This window comes from Homo sapiens, chromosome 5 (genome assembly GCF_000001405.40).
Source record: "Homo sapiens chromosome 5, GRCh38.p14 Primary Assembly".
Lineage (NCBI taxonomy): Eukaryota > Metazoa > Chordata > Mammalia > Primates > Hominidae > Homo > Homo sapiens.
The window spans coordinates 62380891-62407217 of record NC_000005.10 but is presented as its reverse complement, the minus strand read 5'-3'; the positions used below and the strand labels follow the sequence as shown (position 1 = coordinate 62407217).

At 40.6% G+C, this 26327-nt stretch overlaps 2 protein-coding genes across 7 annotated transcripts in view, besides 1 other annotated feature; one reads left to right on the top strand and one right to left on the bottom strand.

Moving 5' to 3' along the window:
- Positions 3103–3392: an enhancer, noted in NCBI's record as "active region_22596". NCBI's record gives its function as "activates an Ori minimal core promoter by ATAC-STARR-seq in GM12878 lymphoblastoid cells {active_cell/tissue: GM12878}" and the evidence as "EXISTENCE:reporter gene assay evidence [ECO:0000049][PMID:35858748]".
- Positions 3313–19964, top strand: DIMT1 (DIM1 rRNA methyltransferase and ribosome maturation factor). 3 transcript variants are annotated; one of them, NM_014473.4, is made up of 12 exons: positions 3313–3524; positions 3872–3945; positions 5096–5182; positions 8337–8398; positions 8479–8572; positions 8658–8707; positions 12611–12734; positions 13171–13263; positions 14228–14292; positions 14984–15047; positions 16236–16342; positions 18166–19964. In NM_014473.4, the coding sequence occupies exons 1-12, from the start codon at positions 3446–3448 to the stop codon at positions 18206–18208; spliced, it is 942 nt and encodes a 313-aa protein (NP_055288.1). In that variant the 5' UTR covers positions 3313–3445; the 3' UTR covers positions 18209–19964. The 3 variants fall into 3 exon arrangements, with proteins under 3 accessions (NP_055288.1, NP_001335006.1, NP_001335005.1); NM_001348077.2 differs by having other exon boundaries at positions 8658–8789; NM_001348076.2 differs by lacking the exons at positions 16236–16342; positions 18166–19964 and adding an exon at positions 15212–15499.
- Positions 16193–26327, bottom strand: part of KIF2A (kinesin family member 2A) — an 84820-nt gene continuing 74685 nt past the window's right edge. For all 4 annotated transcript variants that reach the window (NM_001243952.2, NM_001098511.3, NM_004520.5 and 1 more), the window contains 2 exons: positions 25965–26100; positions 16193–21734 (listed from right to left, as the gene is read on the bottom strand). In NM_001243952.2, the coding sequence (NP_001230881.2) occupies positions 21649–21734; positions 25965–26100 (222 nt within the window). In that variant the 3' untranslated portion in view covers positions 16193–21648. The remainder of the gene's footprint in view (positions 21735–25964; positions 26101–26327) is intronic.

The following is a 26327-nucleotide window of genomic DNA, read 5'->3' as shown; positions in this document are numbered from 1 at the left end:
TGACCTCAAATGATCCACCCGCCTTGGCCTCCCAAAGTGCTGGGATTATAGGCGTGAGTCACCATGCCCAGCCACATATTTAGATCATTCTAAAGAATACATTCATAGAAGAATCTTGTTTATAGTATTCAGGATTCCTTCCTTCCTTCCTTCCTTCCTTCCTTCCTTCCTTCCTTCCTTCCTTCCTTCCTTCCTTCTTCCTTTCCTTCCTTCCTTCTTCCTTTCCTTCCTTCGCTCCCTCCCTCCCTCTTTTCTTTCTTTCTTTGAGACGGAGTCTTATTCTGTCACCTAGGCTGGAGTGCAGTGGAGCAAACTCAACTCACTGCAACGTCTGCCTCACTGCAACCCAGCCTGGGCCACTATTTTAAAAATATAACATTTGAAGCCAGGCACGGTAACTCATGCCTGTAATCCCTGCACTTTGGGAGGGCAAGGCGGGCAGACCACTTGAGGCCAGTTCAAGACCAGCATGGGCAACATGGTGAAAACCCATCTCTACTAAAAATACAAAAAAAAAAAAAAAAATTAGCCAGCGTGGTGGTGGTGCACGCCTGCAATCCCAGCTACTTGAGAGGCTGAGGCATGAGAATAGCTTGAATCTGGGAGGCTGAGGTTGCAGTGAGCCAAGATCATGGCACTGCACTGCAGCCTGGGTGACAGAGCAAGGCTCTATCTTAAAATATATATATATATATATATTTATATTTATATATGTTTATATTTATATTTAAATATATATATTTATATTATATATATGAGTTGTGTCTTTAACAGCAAACAAAAGTTAGCCAGGGGAAGGTCGAGAATGCAAAAGGAAGAGCACTCACAAAGCCGAGGTATAAAGATGTTTAAGGAAGAAAAAGGAACTTGATAACGTTGGGAAGTAAATAAGTAAGGTAAATAGGAACTTAATTTGAAAGGCCTACAATGCTATTCTAGGGAGCAATAGTGGTCATTCATTGATGAATCAAAAGAACAATTTTGCCTTCTCTGCTCTTGTCTCCAGGCTGTGGTTACACAGCAGTACACATTGGAGATACTGGGCTCCACATTTAGCTGGAAGACATGCCATGTCTTCTTGAGTTCCCTCTAATCTTCCTCTCCCATTGCGCATAAAGGATCTTCAAACCTTCTCCGCACTCATGCCCCTTGTCCTACCACCTCCACAGCTCCTTCTCTACAGAAAAACTTGCCTTTTATTTCACAGAAGAAATGCAACCTAGAGGCCAAAGCAGGCAGATCACTTGAGCTGAGAAGTTTGAGATCAGCCTGGGGAACAAAGTGAGACCCCGCCTCTACAAAAATTACAAAAATTAGCTGGACAAGATGATTCATGTCTGTCGTCTCAGCTACTCGGGAGGCTGAGGTGAGAGCATCGCTTGAGCCCGGCAGGCGGAGGTTGCAGTGAGCTGAGATCATGCCGCTGCACTCCAGCCTGGGTGACAGAGTGAGACCGTCTCAAAAAAACAAAACCAAAAAACCCAACAACAACAACAATAACAAATCACACACAGGGTTTTGTGTCATGTTAATTTTTTTTTTTTAAACAGGGTATCATGCTGTCGCCCAGGTTGGTGCAATCTTGGCTCACTACAAATTCTCGGGCTCAAGTGAGGCTCCCACCTCAGCTTCCCGAGTAGCTGAGACTACAGGCCTGCACCACCACGCCTGGCTAATTTTTGTATTTTTTGTAGAGACGGGGTCTCACTTTGTTGCCCAGGTTGATCTCAAACTTCTCAGCTCAAGTGATCCGCTCGCCTTGGCCTCTCAAAGTGCTGGGATTACAGGCATGAGCCACCTCTCCAGGCCATGTCCATCCTATTAACATTTGGAAGTGCCTAGCACAGTGTACTCTTTAGAATTGTGGAATAACAATGATTGATGAAATGAAACATATACTTGAAGATGCTACTAGGGTATACGAGATTTTTTTTCTGACTTAGAACTACATCAAAGAAAGAAGGGCCTAAGACCAAGGTTTGGGAATGTACACAATGAATTGCTCAAAAGAGAGTTAGCTTTAGTAATGACAGGAAGAAGCTATTTCTTCAACCAAACAGAATACACACAGAAAAATTTAAAAGAGCCATTACACTGGCTGGCAAAACAGATGTGGATATTATGGCCCTGGTACACACGGAGTTTATAGTCAGGTACACTGTCCTGTCACAACGACCAATACGTTATCGTATTTACAGCGTTTTGGAGTTTCTGTCCATCTCTGTCAATATAATACACTTTGAAATAAGTTTCTTACTTAGAATCCCTAGCAGTGTTTGATACACAGTTGGAGCTCAATAAATGTTTACGGAGTGAATGATGAGGCACAAAAGGAATTTGTTGAATTATTTGTTAAATGAATCAAATAATTTTCTAGGATTCACGGGCTGTCTTCTGCACGATAAGCTTCATTCTGTGGGTCTGAGTTTCTCCTGGTTCTCAATTCTGTCTTTTTGTGGATTATCTACTTTGTAGCTGGAGCTTTGTATCTGTTTAAGATAATTATTCTTCTATTCCTTTTTTTTTTTTTTTTTTTTTGAGACGGAGTCTCGCTCTGCCGCCCAGGCTGGAGTGCAGTAGCGCGATCTCGGCTCACTGCAACCTCCGCCTCCTGGGTTCACGCCACTCTCCTGCCTCAGTCTCCCAAGTAGCTGAGACTACAGGCGCCCACCACCACGCCCGGCTAATTTTTTGTATTTTTAGTAGAGACGGGGTTTCCCCGTGTTAGCCAGGATGGTCTCGATCTCCTGACCTTGTGATCCGCCCGCCTCTGCCTCCCAGAGTGCTGGGATTACAGGCGTGAGCCTCCGCGCCCGGCTCTTCTATTCTTAGTAGAAGCAACCAGTAGCCCTAGCGAAACCAGACGTTAATTCCATTCTCGCAGTTCTTTTCCCCAGGGCAAGCAGCAAAAAATGCATTCCCACAAAAGAGCAAGCTCATCCCCAAATCCCGGGTTTCCCACCCCCACAAGCTTCAGGAAAACAGGAGCGAGGCACGTGAATACTTCTTTGGACCTCAGCGATCCCAGAACCTAGGCTACTAAAACATCCATAGGCTTAACCTCATCATATAACTTAAACAGCCTTCGCAACACCGAGAGCACCACACCAACACCTTCTTATCCAGCCCTGGTTGGGACAAGGGCTCCAACTCCAGACTGCAGTCCTCGGTAGCGCGGTGTCTTCTGGGATCTGTAGGCTCCCGCGGTTCGGCCTTCCTCCCTCTGTGACTCCAATTCCCGGCAGTCAGTGGGCTCCAAGGTCCGCCCTTTTTCTGGAGGAGGAGCTCAGAGCGTACGGGAGGGGGCGGACCCTTGCCCCTCCGGCGCTTGGGCCAGAGTGGTGCGGGCGGCGCGTGGCGGCGATCCCCACGTGGTGGCTTTCTCACGCTAGCCCTCTTTGGTCCTCCTTGACGTCCCGGGCCTGTGGGCCCGCTTTCTGCCGAGATGCCGAAGGTCAAGTCGGGGGCCATCGGCCGCCGCCGCGGGCGGCAGGAGCAGCGCCGGGAGCTGAAGAGCGCTGGAGGTGCGGATCCCCGCGAGGAAGCTGGGGTCGGTCGGGTCAGGTCTTCCGGCAGGACCTAGCCTGGGGTGCGGACCAAGACCTGATCGGCAGAGGCCGGTCAGGACGCGCTCCCGTGAGCGCGGAAGGCAGGGGTGGGTCCCCGACTCGGCCGCAGGCCCTGCGCGTCGCCGCTGACTTCCTTTCCAGCTGGAGGATGAACTTATAAAGAGTTTGTCAGTCCTGGCGTGACGTTTCGTGGCCCTGGTTGGCGCAGAAATCTTCCCCATACCCATGCAGCTTTCTTCTCTGGTACTGCCTAATATCTAATCTCAGTAGGAAAATTAATGCTGTTTCGTATTTTCTTACAGGACTCATGTTCAACACGGGGATTGGGCAGCACATTTTGAAAAATCCTCTCATTATTAACAGCATTATCGATAAGGTGGGTGTGGAAGAGGAAAGGGAGAGAGTTGTTGGTTTATTAATTTTATTCCTATGAATACATAAGCGCAGAAAGTCTGCCTGCCGTAAATTAGATGCTCTGTAAATATTTGTTGAATGAATCAAATAATTGTCTAGGATTCTTGGGCTGTCTTCTGCATGATAAGCTTCATTTTGTGGGTCTGAGTTTCTCCTGGTTCCCAATTCTGTGTCTTTTTGTGGATTATCTACTTTATAGCTGGACCTTTGTATTTGTTCAAGATAATTATTCTTCTATTTCTAATCACCTTTTTGATCACTTAGTTTTTATGTACTCCATCTATTTATGTCTAAACTACACATTAGAAAGTTTGTTCCCCAGAAAAACATATAGTACTACATATAAATTATTTGGTGTATGCTAGTACCACATATAAATTGCTTGGAGTATTACTGCTTTCTGAGTTATTGATGTTCTCTTATGGTTATGGATGATTGGGTGTTAGGAAGTGAAATACACACGGTGCAGATTACACTTATGGTTAAAAGCAAGGAAAGCATCCTGGAGCTGTAGAAAGAGCATTACATAGTTAAAGGATCTTGTCAGGCTTCGTGTCATTTGAAAACTGAGAAAAAAAGAAAGAAGGGTCATGTACTATTTTAACCTTTTTAGCTCATAGTTTCCTTTGAGCATCTGATGAAAGCTATGGCCGTAGAATATTAGAGCTGTGTGCAGACATTCAATTTTGTGTACAGTTTCTGCTCTTCTGCATCCTTGAAACCATACATGGGTTGAAAATTGAAAAATCTTCGCCCAACACGTACAGTCCTTTCCCATTTGAACTTGTTGATACGAACAGAGAAGGTAACAAGAGGCTATTGGAATATTTCCAGATAGAAAGCAGAATGCCAATCCCAGAAATGCTGTTGCTGCTTTTCTGACTCCTAAAGTTGAACAGTATTCCTCCAAGTTAGGAGAGGTCTTAGATTTTCATTTGCACCAAATGTTATTGAGGTAATTTTGTTAACCACGTAGATCATGAAGAAATCTAAAAATGGAGTCAGATTAAGAGCTCTTATCGGAGCACATATGAGTAAAGATGTTCAGGTGTAAATTAACTTCTGTGTTCTGATGTTGCCAGAAGAGCTAAAGTGTTTGTGCTTGCTTTTAGGCTGCCTTAAGACCAACTGATGTAGTGCTGGAAGTTGGACCTGGAACTGGCAACATGACTGTAAAGTTGTTAGAAAAGGCAAAAAAGGTAGAAAGGGGATTTAATGTTTGGTATCACAAATGACTATGTTAGCAAGCTCAGTTGGTTTACAATCTAAATATGTTTTAACTAATTGCTATTATTTTAGTAGTAACTCCTGATCCCTTGTTGGAAATTTTGTCTTAGAAAATATGAGATATTTCAGCCAGGCGCGGTGGCTCACGCCTGTAATCCCAGCACTTTGGGAGGCCGAGGCAGGTGGATCATGAGGTCAAGAGATTGAGACCATCCTGGGCAATATGGTGAAACCCCATCTCAACTAAAAATACAAAAATTAGCCGAGTGTGGTGGCAGGTGCCTGTAGTCCCAGCTACTTGGGAGGCTGGGGCAGGAGAATCACTTGAACCCGGAAGGCAGAGGTTGCAGTGAGCCAGGATTGCACCACTGCACTCCAGCCTGGTGACAGAGTGAGACTCTGTCTCAAAAAAAAAAAAAAAAAAAAAGGAAAATATGAGATATTTCAGTGAGGAAAACAGAAACCACATTAGGTATTTCAACAGGGAATTTTTTTTTTTTTTTTTTTTTTTTGGAGAGGGAATTTCACACTGTTCCCCAGGCTGGAGTGCAGAGATGCAGTCCTGGCTCACAGCAACCTCTGCCTCCTGGGTTCAAGAGATTCTCCTGCCTCAGCCTCCCCAGTAGCTGAGATTATAGGCACCTGCCCCCACACCAGCTAATTTTTGTATTTTTAGTAGAGATGCGGTTTCACCATGTTGGCCACACTGGTCTTAAACTCCTGACCTCAGGTGATCCGCCAACTTTGGCTTCCCAAAGTGCTGGGATTACAGGCATGAACCACCATGCCCAGCCTCAACAGGGAGTTTAATTAGGAAGGAAATACCCAACGCCTCCCCTTTGTACCCTATAATGCTGGTGCCTTTCACTGGCCAATTCCAACCAGAAGTTGAAAGGTAAGGGAGCTGAACTGCATTATCTGTAGGATGCAGAGAAAAGCGGATAATAGATCTGGGAGGGCCTTTCATGGTGGCTCACACCTGTAATCCCAGCACTTTGGGAGGCTAAGGCGGGTGGATGGCTTGAGCCTAGGAGTTGAAGACCAGCCTGGGCAACATGGTGAAACCCCATCTCTACAAAAAATTGGCTGGGCATGGTGGTGCCTGACTGTAGCCCTGGCTAGCAGGGAGGCTGAGGTGGGAGGTTTACCTGAGCCTGGGAAGTTGAGGCTCCAGTGAGCCATGATCCTGCCACTTCACTACAGCCTGGGTGACACAGTGAGACCCTGTCTCAAAAAATAAAAATAAAACTAAAGATAGATCTGGGAGCCAAACAGAGTAAGAAACACATTGTTTACCATGTAAACAGGGTCTATATAGAAGTAGGGCCAGGAGCTGTGGCCCACATCTGTAATCCCAGCACTTTGGGAGGCTGAGGCAGGAAGATTGCTTAAAGCTATGAGCTTGAGACCAGCCTGGGCAACAAAGCGAGACCCAATCTCTATAAAAAATAAAAAGGCTGGGCATGGTGCCTCCCGCCTATAATCCCAGCACTTTGGGAGGCCAAGGTGGGAGGATTGTTTGAGCCCAGGAGTTTTGAGACCAGCCCGGGCAACATAGAGAGACCCGTCTCTATTAAAAATAAAGAAAGGAAATTAGCCTGGTGTGCTGGTACACACCTGTGGTCCCAGCTGCACAGGAAGGTGAGGTGGGAGGATCCCATGAGCCCAAGACTTCGAGGCAGCAGTGAGCTATGATAGCGCCACTTCACTCCAGCCTGGGCAACAGAGTGAGACCCCATCTCTTAAAAAAAATTATTTTTTAATAAAAATAAAGTCAGTGAAACCTCAGCTGAAATTGCAATAAAATTTCAATTTCGGCCTTATTTGACATCCATTTTCATTTACTTGAGAAGTTATCTATGCCATGTATTGTGTATCTCAGTAGATGTGACATACTAACAGTAAGAGCAATTGCATTGTACGCTCTTCTCTAACAACACTGACTGCAGAGACATGTAGTGTATTTTTTTCATCATCTGTTGAATTACAAAGCATGGAGACAGATGAAACATGATTCTATTGATTATATGAGTAGAACTCTCACATAATCTGGTTGTCTACTTTTCTGGGTGGTGGTGTTTGTTTGTTTGTTTGTTTGTTTTTGAGATGGAGTCTCGCTCTGTTGCCAGGCTGGAGTGCTGTGGCGCGATCTCGGCTCACTGCAACCTCTGACTCCCTGGTTCAAACAATTCTCCTGCTTCAGCCTCCTGAGTAGCTGGGATTACAGGCACGTGCCGCCACGCCCAGATAATTTTTGAATTTGTTAGTAGAGACAGAGTTTTACCATGTTGGCCAGGCTGGTCTCAGTCTCCTGAACTCATGATCCGCCCACCTCAGCCTCACACCCGGCTTTTTTTTTTTTTTGAGATGGAGTCTCACTTTGTCACCCAGGCTGGAATGCAGTGGCACAGTCTTGGCTCATGGCAACCTCCGCCTCCAGGGTTCAAGCAATTCTCCTGCCTCAGCCTCCTGAGTAGCTGGGATTACAGGCGCCCACCACTAGGCCCAGCTAATATTTTGTGTTGTTTTTGTTTTTGTTTTGAGACAAGAGTCTCTGTCTCTTGCCCAAGCTGGAGTGCAATGGTGCGATCTCGACTCACTGCAACCTCTGCCTCCCAGTTTCAAGCAATTCTCCTGCCTCAGCCTCCCGAGTAGCTGGGATTACAGATGCCCATCACTGTACCCAGCTAAATTTGTATTTTTAGTAGAGACGGGGTTTCGCCATGTTGGCCAGGCTGGTTTCGAACTCCTGACCTCAGGTGATCTGCCTGTCTCAGCCTCCCAAAGTGTTGGGATTACAGGCGTGAGCCACTGCACCTGGCCTAATATTTTGTATTTTTAGTAGAGATGGGGTTTCACCATGTTGGCCAGGCTGGCCTTTAACTCCTGACCTCATGATTCGCCCACCCCAGCCTTCCAAAGTGCTGGGATTACAGGCGTGAGCCACTGCACCCGGCCCATTTTTGTTTGTTGTTTGAAGTATGCGAGTATAATTAAAGGAATATTGATGGTAGAAATGGGAGAAGAAGTTTGTCACATAAATCATGTAAGAGTTCCTGTTGGGATAACAATAAAAGATTTATATTCCATAATTAACCTAAATAATTTTTATTTTTTTTAAATTAGGTTGTTGCTTGTGAACTTGACCCAAGGCTAGTAGCTGAACTTCACAAAAGAGTTCAGGGCACGTGAGTATACATAATAGAATTAAAGTGCATTTCAATCTCATGAAACAACATTCTTTTTACATTTCTTCTTTTCTCATCAGGCCTGTGGCCAGCAAACTTCAAGTACTGGTGGGTGATGTGCTGAAAACAGATTTGCCATTCTTTGATACTTGTGTGGCAAATTTGCCTTATCAGGTATGTCCTCACATTTTCAGGAACATCATACTAACTGTTCCTCTGATGTGTCTTTCCCGGAAATAACTAGTTAATTCTCTTACAGATCTCTTCACCTTTTGTCTTCAAGCTGTTGCTACATCGACCTTTTTTCAGGTTTGTGACAAAAGACTAGAGTTACTGCCAAATTTTGAAAGACTTACAGTTCAGGTGGTGAACATAGCCAAAAATGAGTCAGGTCAGTTGAAAAACTACTGAAGAATTTTTGTAGAAAATGTTGATTTGTATGGAGGTCTTTCTCTCTTTAATTGAGAGGTTATTTGGGGGTAGTGTGCTGGAAGTCCTGCTTCTGAGACCAGACAGCCTTTCCCTATTTTTGAATCTTCCTGCCGTTAAGTCTAGGTTAGAATTTTTATTACCTTATGTCTAGACAATTGCAGTGGTTTCCTAACTGGTCTCTAGTATAAGAGGTCTTCAAAAAGTTCATGGAAAATGTGTATTATGAAAAAAACTTGCATGGATTTCAAAATTTTTTTGCACCAAAATAAACTCTGTACTAACTGAGCAGGATCTAGTGTGAGGCACTGAGAAGGATAAGACATCAGTTTGAAAAGAGCCCCTATCAGAGCAACATGAACTCTGCTAAAATTCAAGTAAGAACAAACATCCAATTTATGGTGAAACCTGGTTGGAAGAATGGTGAAATCATTGATGCTTTACAAAAAGTTTATGGAGTCACACCTGTAATCCCAGCACTTTGGGAGGCCAAGGCAGGCGGATCATGAGGTCAGGAGATCGAGACCATCCTGGCTAACATGGTGAAACCCCACATCTACTAAAAATACAAAAAACTAGCCGGGCGTAGTGGCGGGCGCCTGTAGTCCCAGCCACTCGGGAGGCTGAGGCAGGAGAATGGCGTGAACCCGGGAGGCGGAGCTTGCAGTGAGCCGAGATCGCGCCACTGCACTCCAGCCTTGGCGACTGAGCGAGACTCCGTCTCAAAAAAAAAAAAAAGTTTATGGGGACAATATCCCAAAGAAATCAGCAGTTTACTAATGGATAACTCATTTTAAGAAGGGCTGAGACAATGTTGAAGATGAAGCCTACAGTGGCACACTGGCCATATCAATTTGTGGGAAAACATTCATCTTGTTTGTTCCCTAAGTGACGAGGAACAACATTCAACAGCACAAACAATAGCCAACACCATAGACATCACAGTTGGTTTAGCTTACACAATTCTGACTGCAAAATCAAAGTTAAACAAACTTTGTACTTGATAGATGCCAAAACTGTCATACCCTCTTTTCTGAAAGATTTTATGAAAAAACAAAACAAAAAACATTGTACTCAAATCAGCTGCAGATAAAAGCAGAGCTTCCAGTGGAAATTTTACATAACTGGGATCAAGATCCTGAAACATGGCTGGGTGGAGTGGCTCACACCTATAATCCTAGCACTCTGGGAGGCCGAGGCGGGCAGATCACTTGAGGTCAGGAGACCAGCCTGGCTAACATGGTGAAACCCCATCTCTACTAAAAATAAAAAAATTAGCTGGGCATTGTGGTGGGCACCTATAATCCCAGCTACTCGGGAGGCTGAGGCAGGGGAATCGCTTGAACTCAGGAGGCGGAGGTTGTAGTGAGCCAAGATTGTGCCACTGCACTCCACACTCCAGCCTGGGCAACAGAGCGAGATTGTCAAAAAAGAAAACAAGATCCTGAAACATTTCTTCAAAGAATTACAAAGAATTGTAATGGAGATGAAATATGGCTTTACCAGTGTGATCCTAAAGACAAAGCAGAGTGAAAGTGATGCCTACCAAGAAACGGAGTGGCTCCAGTCAAAGCAAAAGCAGACCAGTCAAGAGCAAAGGTCATAGCAACAGTTTTTTTTTGAATGCTCAGGGCATTTTGCTTGCTGACTTTCTTTAGGACCAAAGAATGAAAACATCTGCTTATTACAAGAGTGTTTTGAGAAAGTTAGCTAAGATGTAGCAGAGTAACTCCTGGGAAAGCTTCCCCAGAGATTCCTCCACCATAATACTTCTACTCCTTCCTCTCATCAGACGAGGGCAATTTTTCGAGAGTTTCAATGGGAAATGGTTAGGTATCCACCTTACAGTCCTGATTGGGCCCCTTCTGACTTCTTTTTATTTTATGAGACAGTCTTGCTCTGGTGCCCGGGCTGGAGAGCAGTGGTATGATCTGCACTCACTGCAGCCTCCACTTCCTGGGCTCAAGCATTCCTCCCACCTCAGCCTCCCAAGTAGCTGCGATTACGGGCATGTGCCACCACACCCAGCTAATTGTTGTATTTTTTTTAGAGATGGGTCTTGCCATGTTGCCCAGGCTGTCTCCCCCTCCTGAGCTCAAGTGATCTGCCCACCTCAGCCTCCCCAAATGCTGGGATTATTACAGGCATGAACCATGGTGCCCAGCCCTTCTGATTTATTTTCGTTTCCCAGTCTTAAAAAATCTTGAAAGGGCACTCTTTTTTCTTCAGTTAATAATGTAAAAAAAAAAAACCTGCAGTGACATGGCTAAATTCCCCAGAGCCTCAGTTTTTTTGATATAGACTAAAATGCTGGTATCATCACTTACAAAAGTGTCTTGAACTTGATGGAGCTTATGTTGAATAATAAAGTTTATGTTTTTTCTTTTTTTTCTTTTTCTGAGACAGGCTGGAGTACAGTGGTGACATCTCAGGTCACTGCAACCTCAGCCTCCCTGGGCTGGGCTCAGATGATTCTCCTACCTCAGCCTCTTGAGTAGCTGGGACTATGGGGGTGTACCAGCATGCCTAGCTAATTTTTGTGTTTTTTTTAGAGAAGGGGTCTCACCATGTTCAGCCCAGGCTGGTCTTGAACTCCTGAGCTCAAGCGATCTGTCCGCCTTGGCCTCCTAAAGTGCTGTGGATTATAGGTGTGTGCCGCCACACCAGCCTTATTTTATCTTTTAATTCAATATTTCCATGAACTTTGAAGTCACTTTCTATATTATATACTAGTGGCTTTCAAACTGCAAGTCAAAAACTAGTGGTTATAAAATTAATGAGTCATGACCATTCTTTTTTTTTGTAATCACATGGAATAGAATATATCACAGGGCATTGCATGTAGTCCAGGTGATTATGGTTTCATGAAACTTTTGTTTTGAAATACAATATAAACACATATACATACAGACATTTGTGGCTTGGCTTGCAATGCCAAATGTATTTTTAGTGTGACTCATTGTCAAAAGTTTGAATGTCAAAGTGTAGCTTTGAAGATACTCTTCTGTTCGTTAACCCCTACAAAGTCTTCCCCATTGCCTGCTGAATAAAAAGTCTACATCTTTTGGCTGGGTGTGGTGACTCATGCCTGTAATCCCAGCACTTTGGGAGGCTGAGGTGGGCGGATCACCTGAGGTCAGGAGTTCCAGACCAGCCTGGCCAACATGGTGAAACACTGTCTCTACTAAAAATAGAAAAATTGGCCAGGGGTGGTAGTGTGCGCCTGTAATCCCAGCTACTCGGGAGGCTGAGGAACGAGGATCACTTGAACCTGGGAGACGGAAGTTGTAGTGAGCCGAGATTGCGCCATTGCACTCCAGCCTGGGCGACAAGAGCGAAACTCCGTCTCAAAAAAAAAAAAAAAGTCTACATCTTTTAACCCGTCAAATCAAGGAAACATTGAACGTCACAATCTGCCTCTTCAGTCTCACCTCTTCCTTAAAGGTGTTTGCTACCCCATAAATATATTACTGCTACTGAAACAATTTTATTTCACTTTGTTTTCATAGAAGAGGTGATGGACTAGTGCTGATTTGAAACATCTCATCCAGTCATTAAAGGCTTATATTTGCAAGCTATCTTGCCATGAGGAGTACAGCAATTATAAAAACAAAGCCAGCTCTCTCATTCTGTGGCAATAAAAAAAAGGCTGAATGTGTTCTCCTACCTTATAATCAGCTGCCAATGCTTTGCTATTTCTCTCCCAAGAAAATTCATTGCAGTTAAAATTCATTTATAGTTGACAATGACCATTTTCCTTATTCCTTTCTGCTTTCTTTTCAGGTGTGCTATACTTATGTTTCAAAGAGAATTTGCCCTCCGACTGGTTGCAAAACCTGGAGATAAGTTATACTGCAGACTCTCAATTAATACACAGCTGTTGGCACGTGTGGACCATCTAATGAAAGTAAGTGAATTTTGTTTTCTTTCTCTTTTTTCTGAGATAGAATCTCACTCTGTCACCCAGGCTGCAGTGCAGTGGCTCACTGCGATCTCTGCCTCCCATACTCAAGCAATCTTCTCGAGTCCCGAGTAGCTGGGACTAGAGGTGTGCGTCACCACGCCTGACTAATTTTTTGGTATTTTTTGTAGACACAGAGTTTTGCTATGTTGCCCAGGTTGGTCTTGAACTCCTGGGCTCAATGATCCATCTGCCTTGGCCTCCCAAAGTGTTGGGATTACAGGTGTGAGCCAAAGCACCCAGCCAGTGATTTTTATTATTGAAATAATCTAGCTTAATTCATCCTTGAGCATCCAGTTGTGCCTTCTGTGAGGATAGCATATCTGGTTACTAAATAAAAGTTGCCTTTGTGAGTACTACTTAAATACTTTTTCATTAACAGGTGGGAAAGAATAACTTCAGACCACCGCCCAAGGTGGAATCCAGTGTTGTAAGGATAGAACCTAAGAATCCACCACCACCCATCAATTTTCAGGTGAGGTTAAAATACTAGCTCATTCAATAAAGGAAAAAAAAGTCCAGGCGGGAAGATGTGTGCCTATAACAGCAGAAAAATATTGAATCAACCTAAATATTCAAACATAGGAAAATGTTAATTAGGACACATCCCTGTGCTGAAGTAGATGGAATAATTTGATGCAAGGTAGTTTTGAAGTGAGACCCAGTCTCAAAAAAAAAAAAGAAAAAATGGAATAAAACTAGGAAAACAAGGTAAAATGAAAATAGTTGTTTTAAAGTAGTATTATGGGTAACATCTTTTCATTGTAATTGTTTTTTGAGATTTAAAAACAAGAAAGAAGACCACTTGATATAAAACCTTACTACAGCCACATTAGAGAAAAACGTGATTGTGTGTGTGGTCAACTGGTGGTAAATGGAGTGGTTTGTCAATAACTCCTTCAAGGAGGTTTAGGTGTGTTACACAGGAAGTATCTGAAGTCATGTCTGTTTTGAATCTTATTTTTGAAAATGATACTTAGATTTAAATAAACGCCATGTTCTTTGTTCAGATGTGGGACCATTTTGTTTTTCCTTCCCTTTCTTTTTTTAAGATGGGGTTTCACTATGTTGCCTAGGCTGGACTTGAACTTTTGGTCTCAAGCGATCCTCCCACCTCAGCCTCCTGAGTAGCTGGTACTACAGGCATGCAGCACTGTGCCTGGCTTTATTTTTTCAAATTAAAAAAAAAAATTGTCATGCTTTGTCAAAAAAAAATTCTGAGGAAAAGACATATTCAGTGAAATGCGCCAAAGTGCAAAAATCAAATGTATGTCTTACTTTTGCATGTGTGTGCCAGCCAGATCAAGATTACAGAACATTTTCTTCACTTCAGAAAGTTTCCTTCAATTGTATATATTAAAAGACAAAATAATACCTAGTGGGCATAGACAAGAACAAGAAGTTTGTAATTTGAAGAAAATGTCTATCTTCTATTTCAGGAATGGGATGGTCTAGTAAGGATAACCTTTGTTAGGAAAAACAAGACACTCTCTGCTGCATTTAAGTAAGTATTACACTAATTTCTAATGTATAAAGGGCCAGTGCTCCAGATACTATGCTAGAATTTGGTCCTTTTCCTGAGCAGCTACCCTAAAGCATAAAGATTATGGGTCCAGACAAACTTCACCTTTTAAACTATCTTTAGAGCTTGGGAGGCTCTAAAGCAAACTTAATGAAGAAAGTTTGCTGGAGTTGAGAGTCAGATCACATTTTTTGGCAAAACAGGAAAACACTCCCAAACTCTGACCATATATCTGCTCTAGTTTTTTGTTGGAAAAATGAGGTGATGATGGACCCCTTCCACACTTGTGAAGGATATGTGTCATGTAATTAACCTGGGAAAATGCAGCTCATCAATTTGGGGTTCAAGGGTAAAAGAGAGGTGAGACACAGTTTTACAGGGCTTGGAGATTTTTTTTTAGGGGATTTTTTGTGGAGAGTCTAGAACTTCTCTAAGAATTTAAGAGGTATTAGGATTTTGCACTTTAAATATATTTAGTGTTTGCTTCATAAGTTTAAATATTCAACAACTTTTAAAATTCCTTAATTTCACCATACAGAATATAGATTTAATTTCATCTAAAATGAAATTATTGCTTAAATGGCTTATGTATTAGTTAAAAAAAAGTTTAAAAAAGTAAGAAATTACTCTGACTTTGGAATAATAACAGTGGCATCACTTCTTTATGCTATAGATCAAGTGCAGTGCAACAACTCTTGGAAAAAAACTACAGAATTCACTGTTCAGTCCATAATATTGTAAGTTAGAAAATGTTCCTGCAGTTTCATTGATTTGTTTTCTTTTAAAATGTCCATTTTTATTCTTGTTGATCTAGCATGAGATTATTTTGTACATTCCATAAGATCCTTAAAAGACAATATATAATGTATAACTAGCACAATTTTGACTTGAATTCTGACAGGTCAGTGCTGCTGTGTATCCTGTGAAACAGATATGAGCAACTTTGATTACTCCACCCTGTCCTCTAACTACTGACAGTTGTTTTTAGCCATAACAAGAATCAGATTCAGCAGTTACAGGTTCCTCAAAGCTGTAGATATGTGTAGCTTGCACAACTTAAAATAATTGTGTAGTTTACTGTCCTCTGAATTGTGACCACGTCTTGTTTCTTGCTCACATAGCAGTTACAAATATAGTTATTACTTTCTTTGTATAGAAATTGAAATAAAGTTCATATGGCTCAATAGCAGATTTCTGGTTGTGAGCCTCATGCGTATCATTTGTGTAACAGTGTGTGCGATGTGATGTTTGCTATCTTTTTAGCTTCCAGTTTAATTAGAACAGAGAGAGAAAGGCCAATTTTCTTTTTATTTTTTATGACTCAGAACCTATATGGTTTAATGTATCACAATACTATCTCCATTTTCTCTTTTATGGGCAAAAAGTCATTAGATAATCTGCCTAAGTATAATAGAAAAATATTAAGCTAGATTAAGAAAAATATTTGGATAAAATATGTGAATTAAGTGTAAAATCCTTTTGGATAAAATATGTGAATTAAGTGTAAAATCCTTAATATTCCCAAGGCTTGGGCAGGTCACCTCTTTGAGAAAAATGAGGTGGTTAAGGTCAAATCTGTAGGAAGAAAATGCATTATTTTGAAAGGAGTAACAATTGCTTTAAAATTTAATTTACAGTTGTAATTATTTGTGAAGTCTGAAACTAATAACTATTTCAGAATTTTAAAGAAGAAAATGGCTAATATAGACAGGATTACTAATTCAAGGTATTCCAAGTTTTTGTTAATAAAGATCAGCCACTTTTAATTAGAGATCCAAGTCTTAATGTAAAAATCAGGCTTTCCAAAGTCTCATTAACAGATATATTAAAGGTGACTATTTTATGACTTACTGAACTAAAAAAAAGAGTCAAGGTGACCTCATTAAAGATATGTCGTTCATTTATTCTGAATCTTATATTGATAGATAATACCAGAAGATTTCAGCATAGCAGATAAAATACAGCAAATCCTAACCAGCACAGGTTTTAGTGACAAACGGGCCCGTTCCATGGACATAGATGACTTCATCAGGTAATTACATTTTTGTTTTCCTAAGTGTTTACATTTCTTTACTGTGACACCTTCAGATTGGAGATTTTAAAGGCTTTTAAGCGGTATAAGGTGCTACCTGGGAGAGTTATTGCATAGCACTTCCATGGCATGGAATAGTATTTGGTGTAGAAGATGGAGGCTAGTTAGCTGCAGCAGAATGAACATTTTCTTTAAGAACAGTAGTAAAGAACAGTCCGAGCCAGAAGATTGCCTTTGTGTTAATGTGGTGTGCAGGTTCCAATGTGGTGTGCAGGTTCCTCCCTTCCTGCTCCTTCCCCAACTCTCATTCATAGTCTTAGTCTTAATAGCTTATCCCTCCAAAATAGTCCATAAGGTAGAAAAATCATAATACATGTAACTGGATCTGATTTTTAAAATTTCCTTACTGGGAATAGCTGTTGTTAAATCAATCTTAAGCATACAATAATGCCAGTTAGAATCCTACCTGGTTATCCATTTAGGAATAATACAGTTTTGTAGCCTGAAGCAAGTTCTACACTTCTCAAGTAAAAAGCTGTCATAATTATCTAGGTAATTTAGACCAAAATTTGTTTTGCTTGAATTAAGCAAGTAAGTCTTATGAAAACAGAATAAGGCTTCAATTAATTACCCAGGTAATTACTAACCTGTACTTACTGTTTTTAATCATTAAGATGTTAACTTTCAGAAGGTCTTGCCTATTTAGCCAATTCACTTTTAAAGCTTCCATGTTCTAGAGGCTGAATAAAAAATGAGAGTAGATTGTTCTAAAAGTCATTGGTTTGACTTTTTCTAAGCTGGAAACACAGTTCTATATAACTAAGACAAATGGAGTTTATATTTTATTGGCTGGCTAGCAGTACTACTGAGTCATTTTAGATGTTAATCCTAGGCATTGAATACTATTCATAAATATCTACTTTGCTTTTTTAGAAATTTATCTGGACCTGTTTCTATGGGCCAGCCTAAACATAACCTCAGGTCTAAAGAGAAATATTTTCTCTTTTTCTTCATTTTCACTAAATTTCCTCAAAGTTATTGGGCATGTGCAGTTTACTAACTAGAATCTATTAAGTACATAGGTATCTACAGAGAGAAACAATGTGTATTTAATTTGAATATAAACAACAGCTCAAGAGAGGAAGAAGGGGCATGTAAGATTGGTTTTTCATCTGACTTCTGCCAATTCCAAACAGCTTCTTGTTCAGTTACCTTGAAACAAATGCCAGTGAGTTCTTAGGCCTGGGATAATGAAAGTCTAAGATAATTTTAGTCAAATTCATTACGACATAAAGGCTCTAATGAAAGAGGCACCAACATGGCATGGTTTTAACCAATACATATCTTATAAATTTAGTCAGACAATAACATTTCTTTTTTTTTTTTTTTTGAGACAGAGTCTTGCTCTGTCACCCAGGCTGGACTCCAGTGGCACAATCTCAGCTCACTGCAACCTCCGCCTCCTGGGTTCAGGCAAATCTCCTGCCTCAACCACCCGAGTAGCTGGGATTACAGGCATGTGCCACCATGCCAGGCTAATTTTTGTATTTTTAGTAGAGACGGGGTTTCACCATGTTGGCCAGACTGTTCTCGAACTACTGACCTCAGGTAATCCACCCGCCTCAGCCTCCCAAAGTGCTGGGATTACAGGCATAAGCCACTGCGCCCAGCCAGTAACGTTTCTTTAATAACTAGTATTAGGAGTGGGTGGGCTCTGTAAGCATGCTGTATTCATGTTTTAGTATTAATGGTATAGAACTATATACCGTTATGTGCTACAAATTAGCTTTTCAGTACCATTCCATTTTGATTTCTTTTTTCAGATTGCTACATGGATTCAACGCAGAAGGTATTCATTTTTCCTAGGTATTTGGAAAACAGAAATTTTCAAGGTCAAGAAAAGAAATGAATTTTGTATTTTTTGTATTTGAGAAGATAATGCTTTTGCTTTACTGAGACATTATTTACTTGACTATTTTTGGTTCAATACTACTACTGTTGTCACCATTTATGATTCTGAATTTTAAAGTTGGAAAGTTCTAAGTATCAAAGTTTTTAATATATAATGCTGGTCCAATCTATTCATAATAATCTTCAAGTTCAGGAGCCGCAGAGACGCACAACTTTACACTTATCATTTCTAACAGTTTATTGTATAAAGATGTTACTCTTCTATTTACTGTTATATACTGTAAGGCCTTCTTTAGGCCTTTAGCTCTGTTCCTCCAGTAATAAAAAAGTTAAAATATGCTTCACTAGTCACACATTCCCCATACCATTTCGTGTTATTCACATTCCCCGTACCATTTCTTGTTATTCACATGTACAGTAAAACAATTGTTTCTTAAATTATTTTTATTTTGGTTCTCTCATTCTCTTCCCTATTTATCCTATACAGTGTCTGTTACGATTGCCTACCTCTTTCGCTATCCTATAGCGTCAGAGACTTAGGGTTCTGGGTAAGCCCAAGTCTGCTACTGCCACCGTGCAGTGCCAGGCATATTAAAGGGCATGACTCCCAACATGTAAAATGAGGAAGCTAAACTGGAATGAAATTAACAATAAAATTATCTTTTTTTATGGTTCTTAGGGAGATAACTATAGGCTTAGCAAAATTTCAGAGGGTTTTGTAATTGAAACTGGTTTCAACTTCAGAAAAACAGCCATTTCCCATAACTACAGGTTCCCAGTATTCCTATGATTTCTGGACAATTAAAATTTCCAGTTCCTTTTTCATATACCTGGTGCTTAGTTTTAAGCTATTTTAAAACTGTCAGACTGAGAATTTCAATAGATGTCATAAACTAGTTTTATTAGCTACTATGTTTAAGTCAATATAATACTAAGTGCTGTTAATATACTATAATAGAGTTATAGTAGCTATTTTGTTTCTATAAAAAATTAATAAAAATATCTTTATTGATATTTGGCTTTTTTTAATACCTAACTTAATAGAAGAGTGTTTCCAATTAATTTAACAAAGCCAGATTTTGAAATCTGGCTTCAAAGTCATAGTAAATGTTACTACATAATTAAAATAATGCTTGTTCTTAATGTATAATCCAGAACAAAGGCATCAAGCTGCTTTTGTTAAACAAATATGAAATAATATACATTAAGAGTAGATTTTTTTGTTTAATTTCACAAAACTATTTTGCAGAGTTCACTTGTATCATCTCTATCCTTATAGTAAAAATTTTAAGATTTAACTCGGCTTTCTCAGGTTATTTCCCTCTACCCCTATGAACTGCTGAGTTTTAGTTCCTTTTCTGGCCTTCAGTTTTCACTATCTGTAAAGCTGAAGGACTGTATTATATTACCTCCAGTATCTTTTCTGGTACTAATTTTTAAAATACCTGATCAGAATGAAGCCATCATAGTGTAAGGCAGCATATTTGTCTATAAGGAGACTTTCCAAAGACAGTACCCATCCAATGCAAATAATAAATTTGAAGCTAATCATCTGTTGTGCTTTAAAATGAGCAAATTCACATGTCTTTATTGCCCTTTGAAAGTTGGTTAATCTCAAAAACTACCTTTTTTTTAAATATCCTTTGCAAGGTCAATTGTAACAGTTCTCCATCCTTCCTCTTCCCTTTGAAATAAACACAAATAGAATATATCTTACAGCTGCAAGAAAACCTGAGTCCTTTCCAAAACAAAGGTGACTGAAGTAAATTATCTCTAAAACTTATTCCATAGACTTCATTTATTAATAAGCATATTGTGAAAATCTACATTTGTTTTAGATTTCATGTTTACAGAGCTTTTCACAATTGTATTAGGATCTTTCACAACTACTCTCTGGGTTTTATGAACAGTAAAGAATCTGGCTCATGTGACCCTCTATTCATAGCTCCCCTTTGGCTCCTGTGAAGGAGCTGATAGTTCCCTGGAGTAAATAAATCAAAACAAGATATCCTTGGGAGATTTTTAGCTGTTAATCTACTCCTGGACCCCATCCTGGGAACTGAGGGAAAACTCCTAGAGAGATATACAAATCTTTGAACAAAATATTTACATGAAAAGTGGCCAGTTTTCTTCCTTGGAGTAGCAATCTGTAAAAATAAGTGCTGCTGTTTAAAAAGTAGCATGCCCTACACCATACCAATGTATTAGTGAGAATTTGGCGATTCTCACCAAACAACAATGAAGTTTCACATTTGGTACTGGATGGAGCTTGGGTTAGATCTGCCTTTTAAGGCAAAGTCAACTCTTTCAACTTAATTCTTTTTCAAGGGAGTAATGTACTGTCTACACTTGGCTTAAACTAACTTCTATTATGGACTACTTTCAATGTACATGTAAATGTTCATGCATCAGAAGCCAATTTCTTTTAACAGTACATAGAAAAGGTATATTTTGGGGTGCTAATGAACACTTCAAATTAAGTAATGATATTGGTAAGGATCAAACTGCACTATTAGTCTTGTTAATACCACACTGGCACACACACTGCATATATATGTATTTTCCTAAGATAAAACTCTTCTCAGAATTTCATTACTTTTTATTATACACCAACTAGTTTATATTGTAGTTCTTTACAAAGAAAATGCTAAGAAAAATTATAATCACATGTTATATGGTTTTAAAATAATAATTCCAGATTTCTTTACATATAAGATGGAATGGTCCAGCAGCTATATCCACTGTCACAGACTTTAGTTCCGTTCAATGATATGGCACATCCTGCAAAATTAACTAGTCACACACAAAAAATGTCTCAAATACAGTAAAAATGTACACACAAAGGTAATTTACAATGACAAGGAATGTAATTTTTCTTGGCTGTGCTTCAGAAATTTAGGGTCAGTAGCCTTAATCAAGGCACAAAGCAGGAAAAGGTGAGCACAGCTGTCTCTAGGAGTGGGCAAGGTATGTACAATCACTGATGAGGTATGCATGCACGCAAAGGATTTAAAACTGCTCAGTCTCACTACAAAAATTGAACTGAGTTAAAAGGAAATGCTGTGGCTTCCCCCTACTATCTGGCTCTGGATTGAGTCCACAGTCTTACTTCATCAAATAGAAAATAAAACTGACAAGGATCTCCAAAAGTAAATCACTATTTGTGTAAATGAAACAAAATGCTTCATTAATCCCAGTTCTTGGTTGTGCCTCCTGGACTAGAAGCATTTTGTAGACAAAAGAGTGTTTCACAAAATTGAAATGTAATTCAGGTGAAGGACAAAACATTTTCCACAGACACTTAAAATTCCAAACTTTCAAATGGCCCTTACAGCTGAACCGTTGTATGTTACAGTAGTGAGGGTTCTGGGTATCCTTTAGCAGCAAATGCCGGTTTAAAGGGCACGGGGTCTCTTCGGGTTGATTTGCTTGCTGGCTTGTTCCTCCTCTTGTAGAGCTGCACGGAAAGATTTCACTTTATCTTGGAAAAAGAAAAGAAAGAGGGAATAAGTATTGTATTACACGCAGTAAGAGTTTACAACTTTATGGGTTCAATCAAGTCAGCTGTGTTATTTCCTAACAGTAACTCAGTATTTTTCCTTTTGTTCTTTGTTGTCTAGAAACTCGGAACTAAATAGAATGCTCAACTATTGCGAAAGTTTTTTGTTACAGATTTCCAGAAATACCTGTTTTTCTGTATCTTTCAATAGCTTTCTGTTCTGTTTGGCACATTTACAGTTCTCTGTTTTAATTTATTGGAATTCCTCCTAGAGTATAGGCAGGTTTCACATTGTAAAATACATAGTCTACCTTTTTTTTTTTGAGATGGAGTCCTCACTCTGTCACCCAAGCTTGAGTGCAATGGTGCGATCTAGGCTCACTGCAACCTCCACCTCATGGGTTCAAGCAATTCTCCCACCTCAGCTTCCCGAGTAGCTGGGATTACAGGCGTGCACCACCCGCTCAGCTAATTTTTGTATTTTTAGTAGATACGGGGTTTTACCATGTTGGCCATGCTGGTCTCGAACTCCCAACCTCAGGTGATCTGCCCGCCTTGGCCTCCCAAAGTGCTGGGATTATAGGCATGAGCCACCGTGCTCAGCACCCCCTATTTTACCTTTTTAAAGCTATGAACATGTAAAATATATTTGAATTTTTAGAAATTTACATTTTGTCCTCACTGTGAGGAAGGGGGATTGTGAAGGGGGGATGACTAAATGATATATTTCTTGATTTTACGCATTTTCTGGTCATGTACTGCTCTAGAGTCATGTAAAAACTAGAAATAGGTTAGTAAATTGTCAGACAAATTACATGCAGCTGTGAAGATAAGCTATCTTTCAATAACAGTGGCTCTCAACTGGATATGATTTTTGGCCCCCAGCGGGCATTTGGTAATGTCTAGAGACATTTTTGGTTATCCCAACTGGTGTGGTGCTACTGTCATGTAGTGGACAGAGACCAACGATGCTGGTAAATATTGTACAAGGCACAGGATAACACTCCTCAACAAAGAAAGGCCTAGCCCCAAATGTTAACAGTGTCAAGGTTACGAAACCCTACTCTGTAGACTTCAGAATAAAGTTGGAATCTCAATTTTCCTCCCCTTTTTGAAAGTACAGTGATGTTTAAAAAGTTAACTTTTTTGAAATTTTGAAATGAATTTAAGAACTTCTAGATTTGGTGCTCTCAAACTGTTACTGTTCTGTTTTTTTTGAGATGGAGTCTCACTCTGTCACCCAGGTTGGAGTGCAGTGGCGTGATCTCGGCTCACTGCAACCTCCGCCCTCCGCCCCCTGCCCCGGGTTCAAGTGATTCTCCTGTCTCAGCCTCCTGAGTAGCTGGGACTACAGGCATGTGCCACCATGCCTGGCTAATTTTTGTATTTTTAGTAGAGACAGGATTTCACAATGTTGACCAGGCTGGCCTTGAACTCCTGACCTCGGGTGATCTACCTGCCTCAGCCTCCCAAAGTGCTGGGATTACAGGTGTCTGGCCCAAATTTTTCTTATAAATCCCAAATTTATCTCTGGGTGGTTAAAAAAATTCTAAGGACTGAATAATGCAATATATCTAGATAGTAATTTCTTAAAAGTTATGGATATGCTTGATACACATGAAATTTGAGAAAAGGAAAGGAAGTCAATTAAGTTGAATGCTACAAAGAAAAAATACCAGAGTGCATTAGGATCTGTCTTCTGAATAAAATGGATACAGAAGCTGATTGTGAATTATTGCAGATTAGAAAAATGATCAAAACAATTTAAATAAAGGGTTGAATATGAACAATATGAGAAACAAATGAAAATTTTAGTTCAACAGTCACTGCTGACTTTACAAAATATGATTTCAAATAACCAACTTCATAACCAGTCAGCAACATATATGTGTTGAACATCTCATCCAAAAATCTGGCTGTGCAGGCCGGGCGTGGTGGCTCATGCCTGTAATCCCAGCACTTTCGGAGGCCGAGATGGGCGGATCACAAGGTCAGGAGATCGAGACCATCCTGACTAACACAATGAAACCCCGTCTCTACTAAAAATACAAAAAAATTAGCCAGGCGTGGTGGCGGGCGCCTGTAGTCCCAGCTACTCAAGAGGCTGAGGCAGGAGAATGGCATGAACCTGGGAGGCGGAGCTTTCACTGAGCCAAGATCGCTCCACTGCACTCCAGCCTGCGTGACAGAGTGAGACTCCATCTCAAAAAAAAAAAAAAAAAAAAAAAAAAAAAAATCTGGCCAGGCATGGTGGCTCATGCCTGTAATCTCAGCACTTTGAGAGGTTGAGGTGGGTGCATCACGTGAGGTCAGGAGTTCGATACCAGCCTGGCCAATATGGTGAAACCCGGTCTCTACTAAAAATACAAAAAGTAGCCGGGTACAGTGGCACACGCCTGTAATCCCAGCTACTCAGAAGCCTGAGGCAGAAGAATTGCTTGAACCTGGGAGGCGGAGGTCGCAGTGAGCTGAGATTGCCACTGCACTCCAGCCTGGGCGATAAAGCAAGACACTATCTCAAAAAAAAAAAAAAAAGCAAAGCCAGGCTCGGTGCCTCACATCTGTAATCCCAGCACTTTGGGAGGCCGAGGCAGGTGGATCACCTGAGGTGAGGAGTTCAAGACCAGCCTGGCCAACATGGTGAAACCCCGTCTAGATACAGAAGTTAGCTGTGCATTGTGGCGCGTGCCTGTAATCCCAACTACTCGGGAGGCTGAGGCAGGAAAATTGCTTGAACCTGGGAGGTAGAGGTTGCATTGAGCTGAGATCGTGCCATTGTAACCCAGCCTGGACAATAAGAGCAAAACTCCATGACAAAAAAAAAAAAAAAACCTGAAACCTGAAGTGTTCCAAAAATCCCAAACTTTTGGTATAATGCAAATATTCAAAAATCTGAAAAAATCTGAAATCCAAAACACTTCTTGTTCAAAGCTTTTCACATAAGGGATACTCAACGTGTATATACTTCAAAACATCATGTTGTACCTATTACATACATTTTAATCTGTCAACTCTTTAATTTTTTGAGACAGGATCTCACTGTGTTGCCCAAACCAGAGTGCAGTGGCGTGATCCTAGCTCACTGCAGCCTCAAACTCCTGGGATCAAGTGATCCTCCCACTTCAGCCTCCCAATAGCTGGGACTACAGGCAGGCACCACCATACCTGGCTAATTTTTAAATTTTTAAATTATTTTTTAGAGATGGGATCTCTATGTTGCCCAGGCTGGGATGTCAATTTAAATAAATGAATAAATTTAAAAGAAAAATAACCCTTCAAAACAACTAATCAACATCACAGAGGGCCTCCTTAAAAAAATTAAGCAGCTTATTTACTGCCCCAAATTAGGAATTTCATTCTGGTTTATGTTGGATTGCGTGTACACACACATCCAGATGGTCACTCACACCTAAACAAAGCCAACAGTGTGCAAATGCCTAAGAAATTAACACATAAAGAAATACATAGCTGAAGCTACACAGATAAGCTAACTAAAAAACCAAAAAGACACGACTTAGTAGGTAAGGCACATGCTTCCCTTCATGAGTAAGGTACAGAGGATAGTCATCTTGACACCTCCTTCATTTAAAAAAAAGTGGCAGAGGCCAAGTGTGGTGGCTCATGCCTGTAATCCCGCCATTTTGGGAGGTCAAGGCAGGAGGACTGCTTGAGCCCAGGAGTTTGAGACAGCCTGAGCAACATAGCAAGACCCCATCTCTACAAAAAATTAAAAATTAGCTGGGTGTGGTGGCTTGCGCCTGTAGTCCCAGCTACTCAGGAGACTGAGGTGGGAGGACTGCTTGAGCACAGGAGGTTGAGGATGCAGTAAGCCATGATCACGCCCCTGTGCTCCAGCCTGGGCAACAGAATGAGACCCGAAAAAAGGCACAGAAAGAAGATAATTCTCATAAGCATCAGCCTACCAAACTAAAGATCTGAATAGGTACATAAAATTTATAAATTTGTTAAAAATACATTTTCTCTCTTTAAGATGACTGTCTTCTTAAAATATGAGAGAAAACTTGAAATGCTATGCCATGACTTTTAGAAAAACCACAATGGTTAGTTGTCTTTATACCTCTGGAAAATAGATGCTAAACAGTGCCCCTAATTTTCACTTCGTATGTCCTCTTGCAATACGAAGAAGCCCTCTCACCAATATACATACCAATACCAATCAGATTTCAAACATTAAAATGGAAAAAGAATTACCCCGCAGTTCAGTTAAAATGTCTATTTTTTGCTCAAGAATAGCTTCAAGTTGTGTAGCATATGAATCGACATCATAATCTACTTCTTCAGTCATCTCTAAGAGGGCCTTTTCATCTTCTAACCACCGAATAGATTCCTACAAGGACAAAAATTCGATAATCCAATAAGCATCTTTGTGCAACAGAAACCAAATTACAATTCTGTTAAATATAATCAAACATACTTAAGATAGTATTCTCTAAAATGTCAATAGACATAAAACATCTTTATTCACAGACAGTATAATTAAGAAATACAGTTGACTCTGGAACAACATGGGTTTAAACTGTTTGGGTCCACTTATGTGGATTTTTTTCAATGTAA